Source organism: Homo sapiens, chromosome 10, assembly GCF_000001405.40.
Source record: "Homo sapiens chromosome 10, GRCh38.p14 Primary Assembly".
Taxonomy (NCBI): domain Eukaryota; kingdom Metazoa; phylum Chordata; class Mammalia; order Primates; family Hominidae; genus Homo; species Homo sapiens.
Window position 1 is genome coordinate 27,087,922 of NC_000010.11, and position 20,436 is coordinate 27,108,357.

Here is a 20,436-nt window from a genome sequence, read left to right on the forward strand (position 1 = left end):
AGGTGCACACCATCACACCTGGCTAATTTTTCTTCATTATTTTTTGTACCAATGGGGTCTTGCTATGTTGCCCAGGCTGGTCTTGAACTCCTGGCCTCAAGCAATTCTCCTGCCTGTGCCTCCCAAAGTGCTGGAATTAAAGACGTGAGCCACTGCACCTGGCCTCACTTTTATTTTAAGTTCCATGAAGGAGATGTGAATTGACATTTTCTCATTTCTGTGATACCTACTAACAACATATTTGCACGTAACATCCCATGTGTTAGCTCCATTCTCATTTCACAGATCACCTTACATGAATATTTTTGTCATGAAAATCACAATTTCAATACTGGGTGCCACCCTTTTGCTTTGACTCACACTGTTAGCAAATAGTAAAATGGCCTTCCAGGGACTGTGCAAAATATGGAACGCTTCAAGAATGTGTGTGTCATCTTTATACAGGGGCCATGCTGATCTTCTCTACATTGTTCAAATTTTAGTATATGTGCTGCTGAAGCAAGCACAAAACCCGACTTTTATACATGGATACTGATGAGTCATGGAACAGGCTTAGCTCTGTTCAATCCAACTAACCTACTTTACGCTCAGAGAATTCTGTTGAATGGCTTCCTTGTGAGGTACAATCTGAAAATATTTTAAAAACTTAAGGTAGAGATGCAAGCAGCTTGGGAGATTTTCATTATGAAAAACAGATCACTTTAGGGGTCAACCACAAGTTGGTGGCCACTACTCCAGCGAAGGACAATATGGAACCTTTCACTACCTAAGAAAATGTGCTACACAGAATGTAAAGGGGCTTTGGAGTACATTCCTGGTAGCAAAGAAAAAAAGAAACTCTGATCTCTTCCTGCAACATTATTTGAACCTGACAGTTGAGAACAATCCCAACTAATATTTGCTAGAGAAAAGACAAACAAAAGCCTCCATGGGTAACTTACCATGAAGGTCAAGGCTAAGTCAAGGCTAAGATATGGTCTCCATATAAGGTTTTGAGTGTAGGTGGAAGGGTCAATTTGCTCACTCTGTGTGTGGCTAAAGCTTCCAGGAGGCCAGCTGCCAGAGCAGGGTGCTGGTGCTTTAGGAACAATGGCTGGGCATATAAACACTTGTATGTGAACTGAAAAAAAGTCCTAACTTTGAAGTCTACCTATGGATCACCATGAAGGCTGAGGGATCTCAATCAGTAAGAGCATCCTTGTAGCAAAGGTCAATCATTTCCAGACTGCAGGACCAGTCTCAGTGGCAACAATGCAGCAACAAAATCACTGGTAACAAAAGAATGATTAGAATGTCCTTTGTCCCCTCCTGATTTATAAAAGAGGACTGTCTTCCTTGGACTTAAGGAACCCCTTCGGTTCCTGAAAAATTCAAGGCAGAGGGCATAGCAGATGGCCCCCAGGGGGACAGTTCAAGATTATCTGCCAAACTGGACATTTCAAGACTCAAATAACCAACTAGAAAAATTAAACATGTGATAGTATTTTTTATCCCATGCATAGGGGTTATAATTGGAATGAAATGAATGATATTGGGACCCCTATGGATTAAGTTCGTAAAAGTCCTGAGATAAAAAAATTCTATACCCGGTTGGACACAGTGGCTCATGCCTATAATTCCAGCACTTTGGAAAGCCAAGGTTGATGGATTGCTTGAGCCTAGGAGTTTGAGACCACCCTAAGCAACATGGCAAAACTCATCTCTACAAAAAATACATAAAATTAGCCGGGCATGGTGGTATGTGCTTGTAGTCCCAGCTACTTGGGAGGCTGAGGTGGGAGAATCTCCTTAGCCCACGGCTTGAAGCTGTGGTGACCTGTGATCGTGCCCCTGCACTCCAGCCCAGGTGACAGAGTGAGACCCTGTCTCAGAAACAAAACAAAACAAAAAGAATCCTACATGCATTGCTGCTTCTAACTAGTCTAGCCTTTTGCTTGATTTCTGGCTGATGAAGTAGGCTAATTCACTGCCATTCTAAAATTACCTGACCCAAACTATGAAATCTCAACTGATGTATAAGATGCAATCATGATAATTATTTTAAACCTCTATTTAGTGTTAACTAGCCTTTTATTGTAAACATTTACATACTAAACCACTAACAACAGCATATTTTTCTGTAGTCCATCCCTAGACATATTAAGAAAAAACATCAAAACTCTGCTGAACAAAAAGCCTGACTATACTTGATGATTCATAAAATATAGTGGGCATGAGGGGTGTTCTAAAATAAGAGAGATATGGCCAGCCATGGTGGCTCATGCCTGTGATCCTAGCACTTTGGGAGGCCAAAGCGGGTGGATCACTTGAAGTCAGGAGTTCGAGACCAGCCTGGCCAACACAGTGAAACCCCATCTCTACTAAAAATACAAAAATTAGCCAGAAAATGCTTAAACCCGGGAGGTAGAGGTTGCAGTGAGCCGACTGTGCCACTGCACTCCAGCCTGGGCAACAGAGCAAGACTCCATCTCAAAAAATAAATAAATAAAAATAAAATAAGAGGTAATTTCACCCCAGGAACTTTAATAAGGTTATGTGCACAGATAATTTGATATACTTTACCAATTTAGTATCTTGCCTGTCTGTGTAGAATTAACTATTTACATCTACTAATAGACATAAGCATCTTGGGTGCTCAAGTGCTCATCTTTGTAAATTACCACCAAGGCTAAAAGGAAGGGACAAAAAAGAGGCCTCTTGTCTCACTGGGGTATTACATACTAGAAGTCCTTTCATGGCAAAAACCTATGCTGAGTTTACTTATCTAAAGTAGGCAAAGATTTAAATGAAGAATTCTCCATTTCTTCTCTAGTCTGATATATTACAATTGCAGTCAGCTAGGGGTCAGATAAGAGCTATCTGCAGGCTTAAAACAGTATTAATAATAATGGTAGCCAGGTGCAGCAGCTCATGCCTATAATCTAAGCACTTTGGGAGGCCAAGATGGGTGGATCACTACAGTCCAGGAGTTTGAGGCCAGCCTGGGTAATATGGGGAAATCCCATCTCTACAAAAAATGCAAAAATTAGCTGGATGTGGTGGCACATGCCTGTAGTCCCAGCTACTCAGGAGGCTGAGGCAGGGGGATTGCTTGAGCCCAAGAGACAGAGGTTGCAGGGAGCCAACATCACACCATTGCACTCCAGCCCGTGACAGAGCCAGACCCTGTCTCAAATAATAATAATAATAATAATAAAGGTAATAATAGGAGTCACAGTAGTTTCAGCCAATGATGCTGATAAGCGTGGGCTAGGCACTGAATCAAATGCTATATAATCTTATTTAAATACAACCACCTTGAGATATATTTAGTATCCCCCTTTTTATATCAGAAAACATATTTGGTGATAAGTAAGGTCCCCAAGCTTACACACTTAACAAGTGGGAAAGCAAGGAATTAAATCCAGTCTCGTGTGAATTTAAAGCCTCTTTTCTCTTTATCACCCATCTATGGCTTGTCTTCAATAAAGGAAAAGTTTATCCAATAAAAGCTGTCTTTCTTCCCTTTGCCCATACCAATTAAAAATAAAAACATCAAAATATACTAGAAATAGAAAAGGAAAAAAATAATGAAACTATAGTATCTGGCAATAGCGATCAACAATCACCTAGGGATAACCTAACATCCGTACTCTTCAAAGAAAGCAACTTAAAGCAAAGAGGCACTCAAAAGACAAAAACTGCTATTGATGTTTAACACAGCATTTCTGAAGGAAAAGTACATAAGCAGAGGTTAGAACAATACCATAAAAGGGTGAAGAAGTTCAATATTGAGTTAAAAAGTGGCCGGGCGCAGTGGCTTAATGCCTGTAATCCCAGTACTTTGGAAGGCCAAGGCGGGTGGATCACGAGGTCAGGAGTTCAAGACCAGCCTGACCAACATGATGAAACCCCATCTCTACTAAAAATACAAAAATTAGTCAGGTGTGGTGGTGTGCACCAGTAATCCCAGCTACTCAGGGGGCTGAGGCAGGAGAATCGCTTGAACCCAGGAGGTGGAGGTTGCAGTGAGCTGAGATTGCGCCACTGCACTCTAGCCTGAGTGACGGGGGAGACTCCATGTAAAAAAAAAAAAAAGTAAACTAAAAGTTAAAGTCCGCATTTTATAAAACTAATAAAACTGATAAGAAACCTCTTTAGCTAACAGATCACATGGCCAAAAACATGGGTTTACAAATAACAAACATCAGTCAATATTATAAGAGAAGATGAATCCTACTGTATAGTCTTCTTTTATATTGCCCAATCCAAGCAACTGCTTTTCTTCCTAACTGATTTGTGTTGCTATTTGTCACTATATCCCCATAATTATGTTAACCTTCTTATTAAATTAATATTTCTGACTTGAGTGAGAAACACCAACGAATCACTGTTGCCCCTCAAGAACAAGCAGGTTTAAAAAACCTGTAACATGCAAAACACAGATCTAAAAAAACTTTTAAACATACAAGTTTAAAAATCCAAAACAAAACCAGCTACTGTACCTTTCCAACTTATCTACTGCATTTACATTTGCTTTTTTCTTTATTAAAAATTCCACCATTTGCTGCTTTTTTCCACTTACTGCAAGTAAAAGTGGTGTGAGGTCATCCTGTAAGACAGCAAAAACAAGTTAAAATGCATAAAATTACATAATTCTCGGCTGAACTGAAAACTCTATGTCAGATCCTTTGAACTGAAACATATAAAATAGAAAACAAATAAAAAACACTTGCTTCCCTTGGAAACACCCCTCCTCTGCCTCACCACATGAACTCCACTCATCTCCAAAACTCACTTCAAATTTTTACCGGTTCTAAGAATATTTGCTTCTATCACATCATTTGGCATGGCATATTGTATTCATTGTATTGTTTCCCATCAAAACCAAGAGCTTCTAGGCTGAGCACAGTGGCTCCCACCTGTAATATCAGCACTTTGAGAGGCTGAGGCGGGTGGATCACCTGAGGTCAGGAGTTCGAGGCCCGCCTGGCCAACATGGCAAAACCCCATCTCTACTAAAAATACAAAAATTAGCTGGGCATGGTGGTGGGTACCTGTAATCCCAGCTACTCAGGAGGCTGAGGCAGGAGAATTGCTTGAACCCGGGAGGCAGAGGCAGAGGTTGCAGTGAGCCGAGATCGCGCCTCTGCACTTTAGACTGGGAGACAGAGCAAGACTCTGTCTCAAAAAAAAAAAAGATTTGCCTTTAACAAATTGTGTTTTCACAAGTATTTACAATAAATGCATAAAAGAAAGGTGTACTGCCTAATGCTTCTTTAAAAGTATCAACATTTAAAGTAAAATCTTAGACAATTAAGTTATTTTAAAATACTTTCAGTCAGGGAATGCTTGCGCTTCCAAATACAGAAAACTAACCCTTACATATGTCACTGTTGAAACAAACGCATTTCAAATACTGTAAAAATAAAGTTGGTTGATCTATACCTTGTTTTTTGCTTCAATATTTGCATCATACAAAAGCAGCTTTGTTGCTACTGATATGTCCTCATTATAGACAGCATAGTGAAGAGCAGTGTTGCCATGGACATCCGCAAGATTTGGATCAGCACCATGTTCTAGCAGAATAGTTGCACATTTCTCTTCCTGGCATTGTACAGCCTGGGAGTATTAGACCAAGAAACAGATCATAAATTCTAGGAATGCAAAATAAACACTCCACAGGTTTCACCAATTAGTTATATTTTAATGAGATAAATTCATTTTCATTCTATGTATTTAAGTCAAATCCATCTGATGCTGAAAGAGCTGGCTACTATATACCTTCATCAGAGCTGTCCTGTTTTCGTTGTCACAGACATTGAGCTGGCATTTTCTGTCCACCAGGAGAGTTACTACTTCTGGATGACCATTGGCACAGGCCAAATGTAGAGCCGTCCTATGAGAGTGACAGGACTTTTTATAAACTGTAGTGCACTGTCTCAAAACATACAATGGTTCATAAAATTATAAACATTAAATAGCATGTTGATATGGTTTGGCTGTGTCCCCACCCAAATCTCATCTTGGCTGTGTCCCCAACCAAATCCCAAATTGTAGTTCCCATGATCCCTACGTGTGGTGAGGGGGACTCAGTGGGAGGTAACTGAATCACGAGGATGGTTCCCCCGTGCTGCTGCTCTTGTGATAGTGAGTTCTCACAATATCTGATGGTTTCTTAAGGGGCTTTTCCCTCTTTTGCTTGGCACTTCTCCTTGCTGACACCATGTCAAGGACATGTTTGCTTCTCCTTCTGCCCTTATTGTTAAGTTTCCTGAGGCCTCCCCAACCAGGCTGAACTGTGAGTTAATTAAACCTCTTTCCTTTATAAATTACCCATATAATAAAGGGTATGTCTTTATTAGCAGCATGAGAACAGACTAATACACATGTTAATCCTCCGCCTTCAAAACAAGTATTTAATTTTCTTCTGAAAACAGTACAATATTTATTAGCTCTTACTACTCACCACATTAATGAAAGAGCAACCTATCTGAATAGAAAAGGCTTGACCTTTAGATTCAGTTCAACTTGGGGTTGAATCCTACTTTAAGCTGTCACTTACTCATTATGGCTTAGTAAGTGCCTCAGTTTCCTCATCAATAAAATGGGGATCAAAATAGTAGCTATCTCATAGGACACCACTGGGATGCTTACATGAGAATCTATGCAAAATGTTTAGAACAGTTCCTAGCACAAATAACAGCTCAATAATTGTTAGATATAATTACCATTACTACTGTTTAATAAAGATGTTTTAATTAAATGAAATGATACAATTATACCTAGTTGACAGTATGTTTTAAAGATCAGCGATAAGGCCAGGCATGGCGGCTCATGCCTGAATCCCAGAACTTTGGGAAGCTGAGGTAGGATGACTGCTTGAGTCCAAGAGTTTGAGACCAGCCTGGGCAACATAGTGAGACTCCATCTCTATAAAAATTTAAAAAGTAGCCAGGCATGGTGGTGAACACCTGTGGTCCCAGCTACTCAGGAGGCTAAGGCCAAAGAATCGCTTGAGCCCAGGAGGTTGAGGCTGTAGTGAGCTGTGATTGTGCCACTGTACTCTAGCCTGGGCAACAGAGAGAGACCCTGTCTACAAAAAAAAAAAAAAAATTAGAGATAACACAGTATTTCAGTGATTCTAAGATGCTCATTTTCTCACATTTCAATATCTCTGACATTGGAATGCCACTTGTAATTCATGATTTATTACAACTATAATTGGAAGCATTTTTAAAATTGAAAAACAGATTTTTAAAACAAAGTAATTCTTATTGTGTTTTCAAGAAACTTCAACACAAAAGAAACTCAGGATTCAAATGAATAGGTTGGCTCATTTTATTCAATATTTAGATTTATAGAATATATGCAGATATTTCCAATGACTAATATTCGTGTTTAAGACATAAATTTTCAAAAGGGTAATTAAAGGTTATTTCTTATAATTTTCTACCTTCAGAAACACTTTTGTTTATAAAGAGGGGTTGGGTGCAGTGGCTCACGCCTGTAATCCCAACACTTTGGGAAGCCAAGGCAGGCAGATCACTTGAGGTCAGGAATTCAAGATCAGCCTGACCAACATGGTAAAACCCCATCTCTGCTAAAAATACAAAAAGTAGCCGGACATGGTGGTACATGCCTGTAATCCCAGCTACTCGAGGGGGCTGAGGCAGGAGAATCACTTGAACCCTGGTGGCAGAGTTGGAGTAAGCCGAGATCATGCCACTTTACTCCAGCCTGGGTGTCAGAGCATAATCTCCTCTCAAAAAAATAAATAAATAAGAGGAGGGAGGAAAAGCTTCAATTGAGATTGCCCTAATAGTCTAATTTTAAATCTCTCAACTTGCTCAGGCTGGGCAGGTATGCAAACATAAAGGTTTTGAAGATGGAAAGGTCCTGAGAGATAGTAGACTATGTTTTCACCTGCAATTGCCTTGACCTGAATGAATGCACTCCACTCTGGCCTTTCTTTCCTCTTAGCTCCTAAGGAATCCACAGATCCACTTTGGATTACCCTCTTCTAAGGCCTGCTCACACCCTTAACAGGACTTTTCATATGGGATCCCAAATGGATTCTCCCTCCCACCAACAGCTCTCATACTTGACCAGAGCTCTCATCTGTCCTCTATAAACATCCAAACATTCTTTGCCAAAACAAATGCTAAGAGACCAGACCAGTCTCAACACAGGAGCCAAGCAGCTCACCAGAACTTCTCTCAGGCTTGATTTCCTGGGGATGAGTTAAATACCTGCTTCCAGAAGTGCAGGAGATTCACATCAAGCTCTATGAAGACAGTTTTATATGAGAAATCAGCAACTTTCCATCTTCCCTGACAGCTCTGTAAATTTGTCATAAAATGCATTCCCAAATTCATAGCAGATTAGCTACATTATGTATTACAATGCTAATGCAAGACTGAAATAGTTTAGAACACCACACAGCACTTATATACATATATATGAAGTTCCTGTTGTGAAAGGGGAATAAATATCATATTCATGACTAAAATAGGGATTCACCTCTGACAGAAAAGAATTTGCATAGAAGTAAAATCCTCACTTCAAAGATATCAACTCTGGCCTGGTGCAGTGGCTCATGCCTGTAATCCCAGCACTTTGGGAGGCTGAGGCAGGCAGATCACCTGAGGTCAGGAGTTTGAGACCAACTTGGCCAACGTGGTGAAACCCCGTCTCTACTAAAAATACAAAAAAAATAGCCAGGCATGGTGGTGGGTGCCTGGAATCCCAGCTGTTTGGGAGGCTGAGGCACGAGAATTGCTTGAACCTGGGAGGAGAAGGTTACAGTGAGCCAAGATCATGCCAACTCACTCCAGCCCAGGAGACAGAGCGAGACTCCATCTCAAAAAAAAAAAAAAAAGAAAAAAAAATCAGCTCTGCAAATCTTCATGTCCACTACTGTTATGTTTCCAATTCAAAGATCAAGTCTATATTCTACCACATTTTATTAAAATACTACGCACTTACATTAATATGCTTATAACTAGCGGTGGTTCACGCCTGTAATCCCAACACTTTGGGAGGCCAAGGCAGGCAGATCACTTGAGGTTAGGAGTTTGAGACCAGCCTGGCCAACAGGGTAGAACCCCATCTATACTAAAAATACAAAAATTAGCCAGGCATGGTGGCACGTGCCTGGAATCTCAGCTACTAGGGAGGCTGAGGCAGGAGAATTGCTTGAACCCAGGAGATGGATGTTGCATTGAGCCGAGATCACACCATTGCACTCCAGCCTGGGCGAAGAAGCGAGACTTCACCTCAAAAACAAAAAAGGCCAGGCGCGGTGGCTCAAGCCTGTAATCTCAGCACTTTGGGAGGCCGAGGTGGGCAGATCACAAGGTCAGGAGATCGAGACCACCCTGGCTAACACAGTGAAACCCTGTCTCTACTAGAAATACAAAAAAAAAAAAAAATTAGCTGTCCCAGCTACTCAGGAGACTGAGGCAGGAGAATCGCTTGAACCCAGGAAGCAGAGGTTGCAGTAAAGCTGAGATCTGGCCACTGCACTCCAGCCTGGGCAACAGAGGGAGACTCTGTCTAAGAAAAAAAGAAAAAAGAGATAGTAGACTATGTCTGCTACATAACAGGTATTCAGGTTATGATTGATGAATAAATGGATTGAAAGAATGGAAAAATCATTAGGGAGTTCAATATTTTTAAATAAAATTCTTATAAAGTAGAGTAATTCTTTTATTCTTTTGCAATAATATTTATCTTTTTTTTGTTTTGTTTTGTTTTGTTTTTTTGAGATGGAGTCTCGCTCTGTCACCCAGGGTGGATTGCAGTGGTGCAATCTCAGCTCACTGTACCCTCCGCCTCCCAGGTGCACGCTATTCTACTGCCTGCCTCAGTCTCCCAAGTACCTGAGACTACAGGTGTGTACCACCACACCTGGCTAATATTTGTATTTTTACTACAGAAGGGTTTCACTACGTTGGCCAGGATGGTCTTGAATTCCTGGACTTAAGTGATCCACCCTCCTCAGCCTCCCAAAGTGCTGGGATTACAGGCCTAAGCCATTGCATCCAGCCTAATTATCATTTATATTTGGTATTTTTATTGTCATAAGGACACAACTAAAATAAAATGATTGTACCTGTTTGCATATATAATAAATCTATAATAAAAACATGTATATGATAAAATGTATACATAAAATCTATAAATACAGATAAAAAGATACCCTTTACTTTTTCTTTTTTTATTTTTATTTTTTATCTTCTTAATTTTTGGTGGCAAGAACAAAGATCTGCTTTACCTTTCATTTTTAATAGAGACAGGGTCTTGCTATGTTGCCCAGGCTAGTTTCGAACTCCTGGGTCAAGCAATCCTCCTGCCTGGGCCTCCCAAAGTGCTGGGATTACAGTCATGAGCCACAGGTGCCCAGCCAAGATCCCCTTTACTTCTGAAAAGGATAAAAGTTGTCAGACGATAGCAATCCACCAAAAAAAGAAAAAAAAGAAAGTGGGAAATGATTTTTATCTGTGCAAGATTCATATTCCTCTCTTCCCAAGGATTACTTCATTAATAATAAATTTTCACTAGAACTTTTATACATACTCATTGCAGAAATCATAAAGAAAAAAGTTTGACTTATTATACAAATGCCCAGAAATAACAAATTTTACCACTTTTTTTTTTTTTTGAGACGGAGTCTTGCTCTGTCGCCCAGGCTGGAGTGCAGTGGCGTGATCTCCGCTCACTGCAAGCTCCGCCTCCCGGGTTCACGCCATTCTCCTGCCTCAGCCTCCGGAGTAGCTGGGACTACAGGCGCCCGCCACCATGCCCGGCTGATTTTTTTGTATTTTTAGTAGAAACGGGGTTTCACTGTGTTAGCCAGGATGGTCTCGATCTCCTGACCTCGTGATCCGCCCGCCTCGGCCTCCCGAAGTGCTGGGATTACAGGCGTGAGACACCGCGCCTGGCCAAATTTTACCACGTTTTGTACATATTTTCAGCTAACACAAGACCACAGTCTGTATGTATAATCAAACTTTTTTTCTCACTTGAGATACCAAAGTATATCCTCACATGCCAATACACTTCTGTATCTATTGCCACTTTCTTTTCTTTCTTTCTTTTTTTTGAGACAGAGTTTTGCTCTTGTTGCCCAGGCTGGAGTGCAATGGCACGATCTTGGCTCACTGCAACCTCTGCCTCCCAGGTTCAAGCGATTCTCCTGCCTCAGTCTTCGGAGTAGCTGAGATTACAGGCTCCCACCACCATGCCTAGCTAATTTTTGTATTTTTAGTAGAGACGGGGTTTCACCATGTTGGCCAAGCTGGTCTCGAACTTCTGACCTCAGGATATCCGCTTGCCTTGGTCTCCTAAAATGCTGGGTTTACAGGCGCGAGCCACCACGCCTGGCCTCTACTGCCACTTTCAATGGTCACATATTATCATGCACTGACATTTATTCACAAAATCCATTCTATGGGTTCTCCTTAATACACTGCTTAAGCAATGCTGAGAAAAACAAATTACTTGTATATCTATTTCCTAAAGGCATTTTATTTCTTTTTCTTTTTGAAAGATAGGGTCTTGCTCTGTTGTCACTGACATACCTCACTGCAGCCTAGAACTCCTGGGCTCAAGTGATGCTCCTGCCTCAGCCTTCCAAGTAGCTGAGACTATTAGAGTTGGGGGGGGGGGTCTCGCTATAATGCCCAGGCTGGCCTTGAACTCCTGGCCTCAAGCAATCCTCCCGCCTCAGCCTCCCGAAGTGCTGTGATTACAGGCGCGAGCCACCGCGCCTGACGAATAACAGATTTTATAGAAATAATTTTTAACCCAGAAGTTGCTATATTATGGAAACTGCTTATCTCATTATGCACCTTTCCATAAGTGTATGACATTGTATCTTAAATGTGTACATTAAAAATAAAACGCTGTACGTGCTTTTGTTCGTTAATTCACTTTAAAATTGTCACTTAAGTGCTCTCTAAGGGATTTCGGGGGGATCGGAAACCAGCTAGAGTTCTGTTTTTGTTTTTCTGCTCAGAAAGGCGGCCTGGGCGCTGGAGCCCTGCAAGGTGTCACCGTCCCAGGGGCTACGGAGCCCGCGGGAGGCTGATCCAGGCCCTGGGTGGCTCCCACAAAAGGGGCCCCTCTTCCTGCCCGCCTACTCCAGTGGCACTCAGTCCGGGCTTGCGACGCCTATTACCTGTTCATCTTGTCTCTATCGTTCAAGCCATTCTTCCTGAGCAAAAGGATCTGCTGCACTTTCGCCACATTACCCGCGCTGGCAGCTTTGTGGATCTTGCCGAGATCTCGGTCTCGGACGTGGTAGCCGGGCTGCGAGTAGGCGCCCTCCCCCGGCTCGCCCCCGCCTCCCGCGCTGCTCCTCTGCCGCCGCGCGAAGGAGCCCAAGGGCGACTCGCCCTTCTTACTAAAAATCTTCTTCATGGCCCAGGCGACCGGGCTTCAGAGACACCTCATGTCTCTCTCGGCTCTTAACGGCCTCCGGAGCCCAACATAACAAGTCAGCCCCGGCTGGCCGCAGCCTCCCAAAGGAAACTCCGCGGTTTCCAATCTCTCCCTCCGGGTTACCAAGCAAGCGATCCCGCTAGACACAAGTGCGCATGCGCACCTCAGATGGCAAGGTCCACGCGCGTGCGCACGAAGGCCCAGTGGTCAAGTGTGCTCCATGCGCATGTGCAAGGCCCAGACCTCGCAAATCTCGGCGACTGGGACGAGCCCTGCGTTCCTGTCAAACAAATGTCGGTGGGAGTCTGGCTGAGTGTTCAGGACGTTTGCGAAAAGAAGCCTCGCGCCTGTGGGGAAGCAGCCTTTACGCATGACTGGGACTGGAGTAGCGTGGAGTTTTAAGATGCTGAAAGCCTCTTCTCCGAGAAAACTCCCCTAAGAAACTCTCTGAATCTCCCTATCTCTCAGTTTATTCCCCTTCCATGTCCCTTTGGGTGCCATCTGGTCTCCATGAGAACTTAACAGATGCAACAACAGAGGGCACAGGATTTCGGAGATCGTGGCATATGTGTCAAGTGCAGAGGGCACAGGATTTCGGAGATCGTGGCAATATGTGTCAAGTGCAAACTTACGAGGAGAAACCAATGCACATTCTCCAGAAGAAATGAGAACGCATTTCTGCATGCCTCCTTCCCCCACCCCTCTGCCTTTGGCCCAGCCTTATGTTTTATTTTTTGCTTTTGATTTTCCAAGGTTACATCTCTTTCTTCTTTTTTTTTTTTTTTTCCCCAACAGAGTCTCGCTTTGTCGCCCAGACTGTAGTGCAGTGGTGCAATCACGGCTCACTGCAGTCTCCACCTCCTGGGCTCAACGATACTCCCACCTCAGCCTCCTGAGTGAGTAGCTGAGACTACAGACGCAAGCCACCACGCCCGGCTATTTTTGCATTTTTTGTAGAGACAGGGTCTCACCATGTTGCCCAGGCTGGTCTCCGACTCCAGGGCTCAAATGATGCTCCCATCTCAGCCTCCCAAAGTGCTGGGATTACAGGTGTGAACCACCACGCCCAGCCTAGATTGAATAATTTGACAACAAATTGGAATTAGCAACGCAGACGTCAAGTGGAGTCTCAGCAGAAATTGCTGCTGGAATGCACCTCCATAGCTCTGGACAGCTCTAGGGTCCCTTGTGGAGGAGGTGGCTGGCCCCAGAACAGGCGTCTTTATTGCCAAGTGAGAAATGAGCAAAAACAAAACAACACTTCTCAGGCCTCTCCAGCTTAGCTAGATCAAATGGTTTTGATGTGGGAGAGTGGTTTCCACTATCGTCACCAAGAATTTTCCTCCTACACTACCCCAGCTAGAAAGTTATGTTGTCTCCTCAACACTCCCCAAGGTGATCTATGAAGCTAGTCAAGTCCCAGCACTTTAGGAGGCCGAGGTGGGTGGATTACCTGAGGTCAGGAGTTCGAGACCAGGCCAACGTGGTGAAACCCCGTCTCTACTAAAAATACAAAAATTAGCTGGGTGTGGTGGTGCATGCCTGTAGTCCCAGCTACTCGGGAGGCTGAGGCAGGAGAAACACTTGAACCTGGGAGGCAGAGGTTCACACCACTGCCTCTGGAGTGGAGACTCTTGGATGGAGACCACGACTCTCTCTCAAAAAACAAAAACAAAAACAAACAAAAAATACTCAAGTGTGGAGAACACTGACTCTGAACAGAGGACTCTGACATTTCCTAATGCAGCCTGAAATTAAGGCCAAAGACATTACCAGTCTGGATGGATATAGGAATCACACACCACTCTCCAGGTAAGTTGTAGAGATTTGGTTGACTATAGTGTTTTTGTATAGACCAGAGATACCCAAGGACTATATGTTAGGCCAGCTCTGAGGTGTTGAATTCATCAGCCAAATGCTGGATCCCCAAAAAGTTTCTTGGAGTTCATTGAAAGCTAAGATCTCCCATTCATATGGAAATTAATTTCAGATCCAGAGCAGACACCCTCTAGAAAGTTGTCACTTGGAACTCCCATGCCTATCTAAGGCTAAAGTAATGCCCTGGTTCAGTTTTCCTATACCCTCATTTAATAATTATGTCAATGAAATTAATGTGTTAGGGGAATATTTGTTTTATAGTGAAAATCAACTGAGATATGAATGCCTTAGCAAATCCCTTAGATAAAGCTCTTTTTTTTTTTTTTTTTGAGATGAAGTCTCGCTCTGTCTCCCAGGCTGGAGTGCAGTGGCACGATATCTCGGCTCACTGCAAGCTCCGCCTCCTTGGTTCACACCATTCTCCTGCCTCAGCCTCCTGAGTAGCTGGGACTACAGGCGCCCACCACCACACCCGGCTACTTTTTGTATTTTGTTTAGTAGAGACGGGGTTTCACTGTGTTAGCCAGGATGGTCTCAATCTCCTGACCTCGTGATCCGCCCGCCTTGGCCTCCCAAAATGCTGGGATTACAGGCGTGAGCCACCGTGCCTGGCCAGATAAAGCTCTTTAATTCCAGTTCAAGGCTGTCACACGTGTTTTCTCCTTTTAAGAGTTACCAAGAAACTCATCAAACCCTTTTCCAAAACTGGTTCATTCATTCTTTGAAATGTGTCTTCCCATGCATTCTGCTGTGTCTATTGAGGAATAATGAAACTATAATTAAACCATGATTAGAACATAAGGGCTCAAGTGTGTTGAGGCCCATCTACCTGTATCTCCTGGAGATCCAAGACCTGGGATGATCACAGTAAGGAGGCCACCACATTAAACAGAAACATGTTCTGGGAACCTTCTTTATTCTAGGTATTGTGAGAGTCAGTGAGGAAACAACAGATGTGTTATTCTTCACTTCAGGGAGGGAGGCAAATTTCATGTTTAGTGCCACATTAAGGGGGAGCACAGAGGGCCTATAGAATCATGTCAAGAGAAGGGTGGTAGGTCATGGAGAGAGGCACATGAAGAAGTGATGTCAAAGCTGAAATTTAGGGCTGGGCATGGTGGTGTACACCTGTAATCCCAGCACTTTGAAAGGCTGAGGCTGGCGGATCACTTGAGCTCAGGAGTTCGAGATCAGCCTGGGCAACACAGCAAGACCCTGTCTCTAAAATCAAATTAAATTAAATTTTAAAAGCTGAGACTTAAAGAATAAACAGGAGTTTGTGAGAGGGGAGAAGATGGAAAGAAAAAAAAAGTACATCCTAGAAAGAGATAATGTGTCTGCCAGGTTTCAATCAGGAGAGAAACCACTTAGTAACCTGAACAAGAACAATTTAATACAAATAATTATTTGCTATAGAAGTTTGGCATGGTAGCTTGTGCCTGTAATCCCAATTACTTGGGAGGCTGAGGCATGAAGATGGCTTGAAGCCAGGGGTTTGAGACCAGCCTAGGCAGCATAGCCAGAACATGTCTCCAAAAAGTGTTTTAAAATTACCCATGGCCAGTGCCGGGCGTGGTGTCTCACACCTGTAATCCCAGCAGAGATTACATACCTTGGGAGACCGAGGTGGGTGGATCACTTGGGGTCAGAAGTTGGAGAGCAGCCTGGCCGACATGGTGAAACCCCATCTCTACTAAAAATACAAAAATTAGCCAGGTGTGGTGGCAGGCGCCTGTAATCCCAGCTACTCGGGAGGCTGAGGCAGGAGAATAACTTGAATCCAGGAGGCGGAGGTTGCAGTGAGCCAAGATTGTGCCATTGCACTCCATCCAGCCTGGATGACAGAGCAAGACTGTCTCAAAAAAAAAAAAAAAAAAAAAAATTAGCCATGCCCAGACATGGTGGCTCATGCCTGTAATCCCAGCACTTTGGGAGGCTGAGGTGGGCGGATCACTTGAGGTTAGGAGTTCAACACCAGCCTGGCAAACATGGTGAAACCCTGTCTCTACTAAAAATACAAAAAAATTAGCCAGGCATGGTGTTGCATGGCTGTAATCCCAGCTATTCAGGAGGCTGAGGTGGGAGGATCGCTTGAACCCAGGAGGCAGAGGTTGCAGGGAGCTGAGATCGTGCCTCTGCACTCCAGCCTGGGTAACATAGCAAGACTCCATCTCAAAAAAAAAAAAAAAAAAAAAATTATCCAGGCTCAGTGGCACATACCTGTAGTTCCAGCTTCTTGGGAGGCTAAGGCAGGAGGATCACTTGAGCACAGGAGTTTGAGACCAGCCTGGGGAATATAGCAAGACCCATCTCGGGCCGGGCATAGTGGCTCACACCTGTAATCCCAGCACTTTGGGAGACCGAGGTGGGTGGATCACGAGGTCAGGAGTTCGAGACCAGCCTGGCCAACACGGTGAAATCCCATCTCTACTAAAAATACAAAAATTAGCTGGGTGTGGTGGTGCATTCCTGTAATCCCAGCTACTCGGGAGGCTGAGGCAGGAGAATTGCTTGAACCAGGGAGTCAGAGGTTGCAGTGAGCTGAGATTGCGCCATTGCACTCCAGCCTGGCAACAGAGTGAGACTCCATCTCAAAAAAAAAAAAAAAGACCGCATCTCAAAGAAAAATTATTATTAACTGTAACAGTAGTATAAAAGTGAAAAGAAAAATCTAAAGAATCCTTTAGGATGAGATTACACCCAAAGTATGAACAACTTAAAATGAGTGGCTTCACAAGGCTGGGGATTCAGATGTCCTTGGAGAAGGTGTGGTTGCCAAGGCCAGAGCTGGTCCACAGTCATCGAGCAAACAGCAAACGCCCTTCTGGAGTACCAGGGGCCCAATCTGATACGTGCATAGATGGTGTGAGGAGGCAGGAAGCCCAGTTCCCCACACAGCAGTACAAGGCTTGAGGGCAGGAAGTTGTTACAAGCCTGCTCACGAAGACCATGGTGTCCATGTTAAAAGGGTTACTGGCTGGGGCCAAAGCTCAGGGTACTCAAGGAACTGCATGCTCTGGGAATGCACAGCCTGGGCAGAGTACTACTGACATTGGTGTAGAAGGAACACGAAGAAGCAACCCAGCAGCACAGCAGAACCTGGGCCAGGGCCACCCCTTGGTCTCTAGGCAGGCAGAAACAACCTACTGGGATGCAGATGAAATGAGGTTGGTAGTCAGATGCAAGGGAAAGTCACATGCAAATGGAGTCAAACTTCTCTGCCACCTAGCAGGCTGTAATCCCACCTCCTTCACCAATGTTTGAACCCCCCTCCCAAATTAACCCCTTCTTGAGTACTCTCCTTCAGCCCTAAGGTACCCTTTAGACTTCTCTTTCCATCTTTATAATTACTCTCATCTCATAGCTTAGTAATTCTTTATATTAAACCACGCTAAATTGCTGTGTGGTTTCTATGCTGTCATTGGACCCAGATTGATACAAAGGCCGTGGAGTCACACTGTTTGGATCTGTCTTCAGGAGACCCTATTGTGGAGTGCACAGTTGAACTGTAGCCTCCAGCTGGTGCTTTCACCAGGACCTTGCTTCTGCCAGGATACAAAGAGGATACAAAGCCAAGTCATTTCTGTCTGGCATAGGACTCCTCTACAGGCTTATGCTGTAATCCCAGTACTTTGGGAGGCCAAGATGGGTAGACCACTTGAGGTCAGGAGTTTGAGACCAGCCTGGCCAACATGGTGAAACCCCATCTCTACTAAAAACACAAAAAAATTAGCCAGGCATGGTGGTGCGCACTTGTAATCCCAGTTACTTGGGAGGCAGAGGTTGCAGCGAGCTGAGATCGCATCATAGCACTTCAGCCTGGGTGAAAGAGTGAGACTCCATCTCAAAACAAAACAAAAACTGAAGAGGGTGGTTCTTATCTGGCTGATAACTGTTGTGAGATGATTTTGAATATCTGATGTGGCCTTTCTTTGAACGCTGACTCTTGCAGGGACAATTCTGTTCCCACAGCTGTTTTCACCTGCAATTGCCTTGACCTGAATGAATGCACTCCACTCTGGCCTTTCTTTCCTCTTAACTCCTAAGGAATCCACAGATCCACTTTGGATTACCCTCTTCTAAGGCCTGCTCACACCCTTAACAGGACTTTTCATATGGGATCCCAAATGGATTCTCCCTCCCACCAACAGCTCTCATACTTGACCAGAGCTCTCATCTGTCCTCTATAAACATCCAAACATTCTTTGCCAAAACAAATGCTAAGAGACCAGACCAATCTCAACACAGTAGCCAAGCAGCTCACCAGAACTTTTCTCAGGCTTGATTTCCTGGCGATGAGTTAAATACCTGCTTCCAGAAGTGCAGGAGATTCACATCAAGCTCTCTTAAGACAGTTTTATATGAGAAATCAGCACCTTTCCATCTTCCCTGACAGCTTTGTAAATTTGTCATAAAATGCATTCCCAAATTCATAGCAGATTAGCTACATTATGTATTACAATGCTAAGGCAAGACTGAAATAGTTTAGAACACCACACAGCACTTATATATATATAAGCACCACACAGCACTTATATATATATATATATATAATCATATATATATAATCATATATATAATGAATATATATATATAATCATATATATAATGAATATATATATATAATCATATATATAATGAATATATATATATAATCATATATATAATGAATATATATAATGAATATATATATATATATATGAAGTTCCTGTTGTGAAAGGGGAATAAATATCATATTCATGACTAAAATAGGGATTCACCTCTGACAGAAAAGAATTTGCATAGAAGTAAAATCCTCACTTCAAAGATATCAACTCTGGCCTGATGCAGTGGCTCATGCCTGTAATTCCAGCACTTTGGGAGGCTGAGGCAGGCAGATCATCTGAGGTCAGGAGTATGAGACCAACCTGGCCAACGTGGTGAAACCCCGTCTCTACTAAAAATACAAAAAAATTAGCCAGCATGGTGGCGGGTGCCTGGAATCCCAGCTGTTTGGGAGGCTGAGGCACAAGAATTGCTTGAACCTGGGAGGAGAAGGTTACAGTGAGCCAAGATCATGCCAACTCACTCCAGCCTGGGAGACAGAGTGAGACTCCATCTCAAAATAAAAAAAGAAAAAAAAGAATCAGCTCTACAAATCTTCATGTCCAGTACTGTTATGTTTCCAATCCAAAGATCGTCTATATTCTACCACACTTTATTAAAATATTAGACACTTACATTAAGAAATATGCTTATAACTAGCTGGCTTGAAATAATGCAGAATTACCTTTAAAATGAATATGAACAAATATTAGAGAGTATCTAGCAATAAAATATGTATCAGTTACTAAAAGTAATAATGATATAGATGATAGGTGAAATTCTGGCATTCTGATAGCTTTGAGTGAATAGCTATGAAAAGTTTAAGTCTTCTTTAGGTTCACTCTTAATAATAAATTGCTTTATCTGGAGTGTGGTTCCAAAATAAGTCACTAAGGAAGAAAAGTATTCAAGAGAAACTGCCCGAGTATCCTTAGCTATTGGATTTAGCAGACTTCATAAACATGTTCAAAATGGAAGTCTGTTTATTATATTAAAGAAAACTTATAATAATCCAATGAACAAAGAATCTCAATAAAGAGGTACAAAGTTATGAAAGAACCAAATGGAAACCTGGGCGCTGAAAAATTCAACTTACGAAACAAAACAATGCAAGTAGATTTGAGATGGCAGACGCATCGGTGAGCTTGAGGAAAAATCAACGTTACACAACCTGAGAAATAGAGGGAGAAAAAGACTGAAAAAAATGAACAGAGCCTGAGACCAGGGTAACAGGAAATGTACCAACAAATGCATAAGGCGAATCACAGAAGAGCAAAGGGCAGAAAAATGTAACTAAGAAATAATGTCCAAAAATCTCTCAAATTTTATAAAAAACATTATATATCCAAGAAGCTAAAACAAACAAAAACCAATAACAACAAACCCAAGTAGGATAAACACTATGAGATCCACACCTAAAAACGTCTTAGTCAAACTGTTTAAAAGACAAGGCCCAGAAAAAAAAAGCCCAAAAGCAGTGAGGAAAACAATTACACAAAGGAGACCAAAAATAATTAACAGCTGACTTTGCACCAAAAGTAATGGAAA

At 42.8% G+C, this 20,436-nt stretch overlaps 1 protein-coding gene and 1 pseudogene across 19 annotated transcripts in view, besides 2 other annotated features; both read right to left on the minus strand.

Moving 5' to 3' along the window:
* The window catches only part of ANKRD26 (ankyrin repeat domain containing 26), a 152,913-nt gene extending 140,340 nt beyond the window's left edge, over nt 1–12,573 (minus strand). For all 19 annotated transcript variants that reach the window (XM_017015929.2, XM_047424821.1, XM_017015928.2 and 16 more), the window contains exons 1-4: nt 12,164–12,573; nt 5,764–5,878; nt 5,428–5,601; nt 4,485–4,591 (exon numbers count right to left, since the gene is read on the minus strand). In XM_017015929.2, coding sequence (XP_016871418.1) covers nt 4,485–4,591; nt 5,428–5,601; nt 5,764–5,878; nt 12,164–12,405 — 638 coding nt within the window. In that variant the 5' untranslated portion in view covers nt 12,406–12,573. The remainder of the gene's footprint in view (nt 1–4,484; nt 4,592–5,427; nt 5,602–5,763; nt 5,879–12,163) is intronic.
* On the minus strand, nt 400–506 carry RNU6-490P (RNA, U6 small nuclear 490, pseudogene; annotated as a pseudogene).
* Nucleotides 12,010–12,069: an enhancer, noted in NCBI's record as "active region_3179". NCBI's record gives its function as "activates an Ori minimal core promoter by ATAC-STARR-seq in GM12878 lymphoblastoid cells {active_cell/tissue: GM12878}" and the evidence as "EXISTENCE:reporter gene assay evidence [ECO:0000049][PMID:35858748]".
* Nucleotides 12,240–12,419: a silencer, noted in NCBI's record as "silent region_2243". NCBI's record gives its function as "represses an Ori minimal core promoter by ATAC-STARR-seq in GM12878 lymphoblastoid cells {active_cell/tissue: GM12878}" and the evidence as "EXISTENCE:reporter gene assay evidence [ECO:0000049][PMID:35858748]".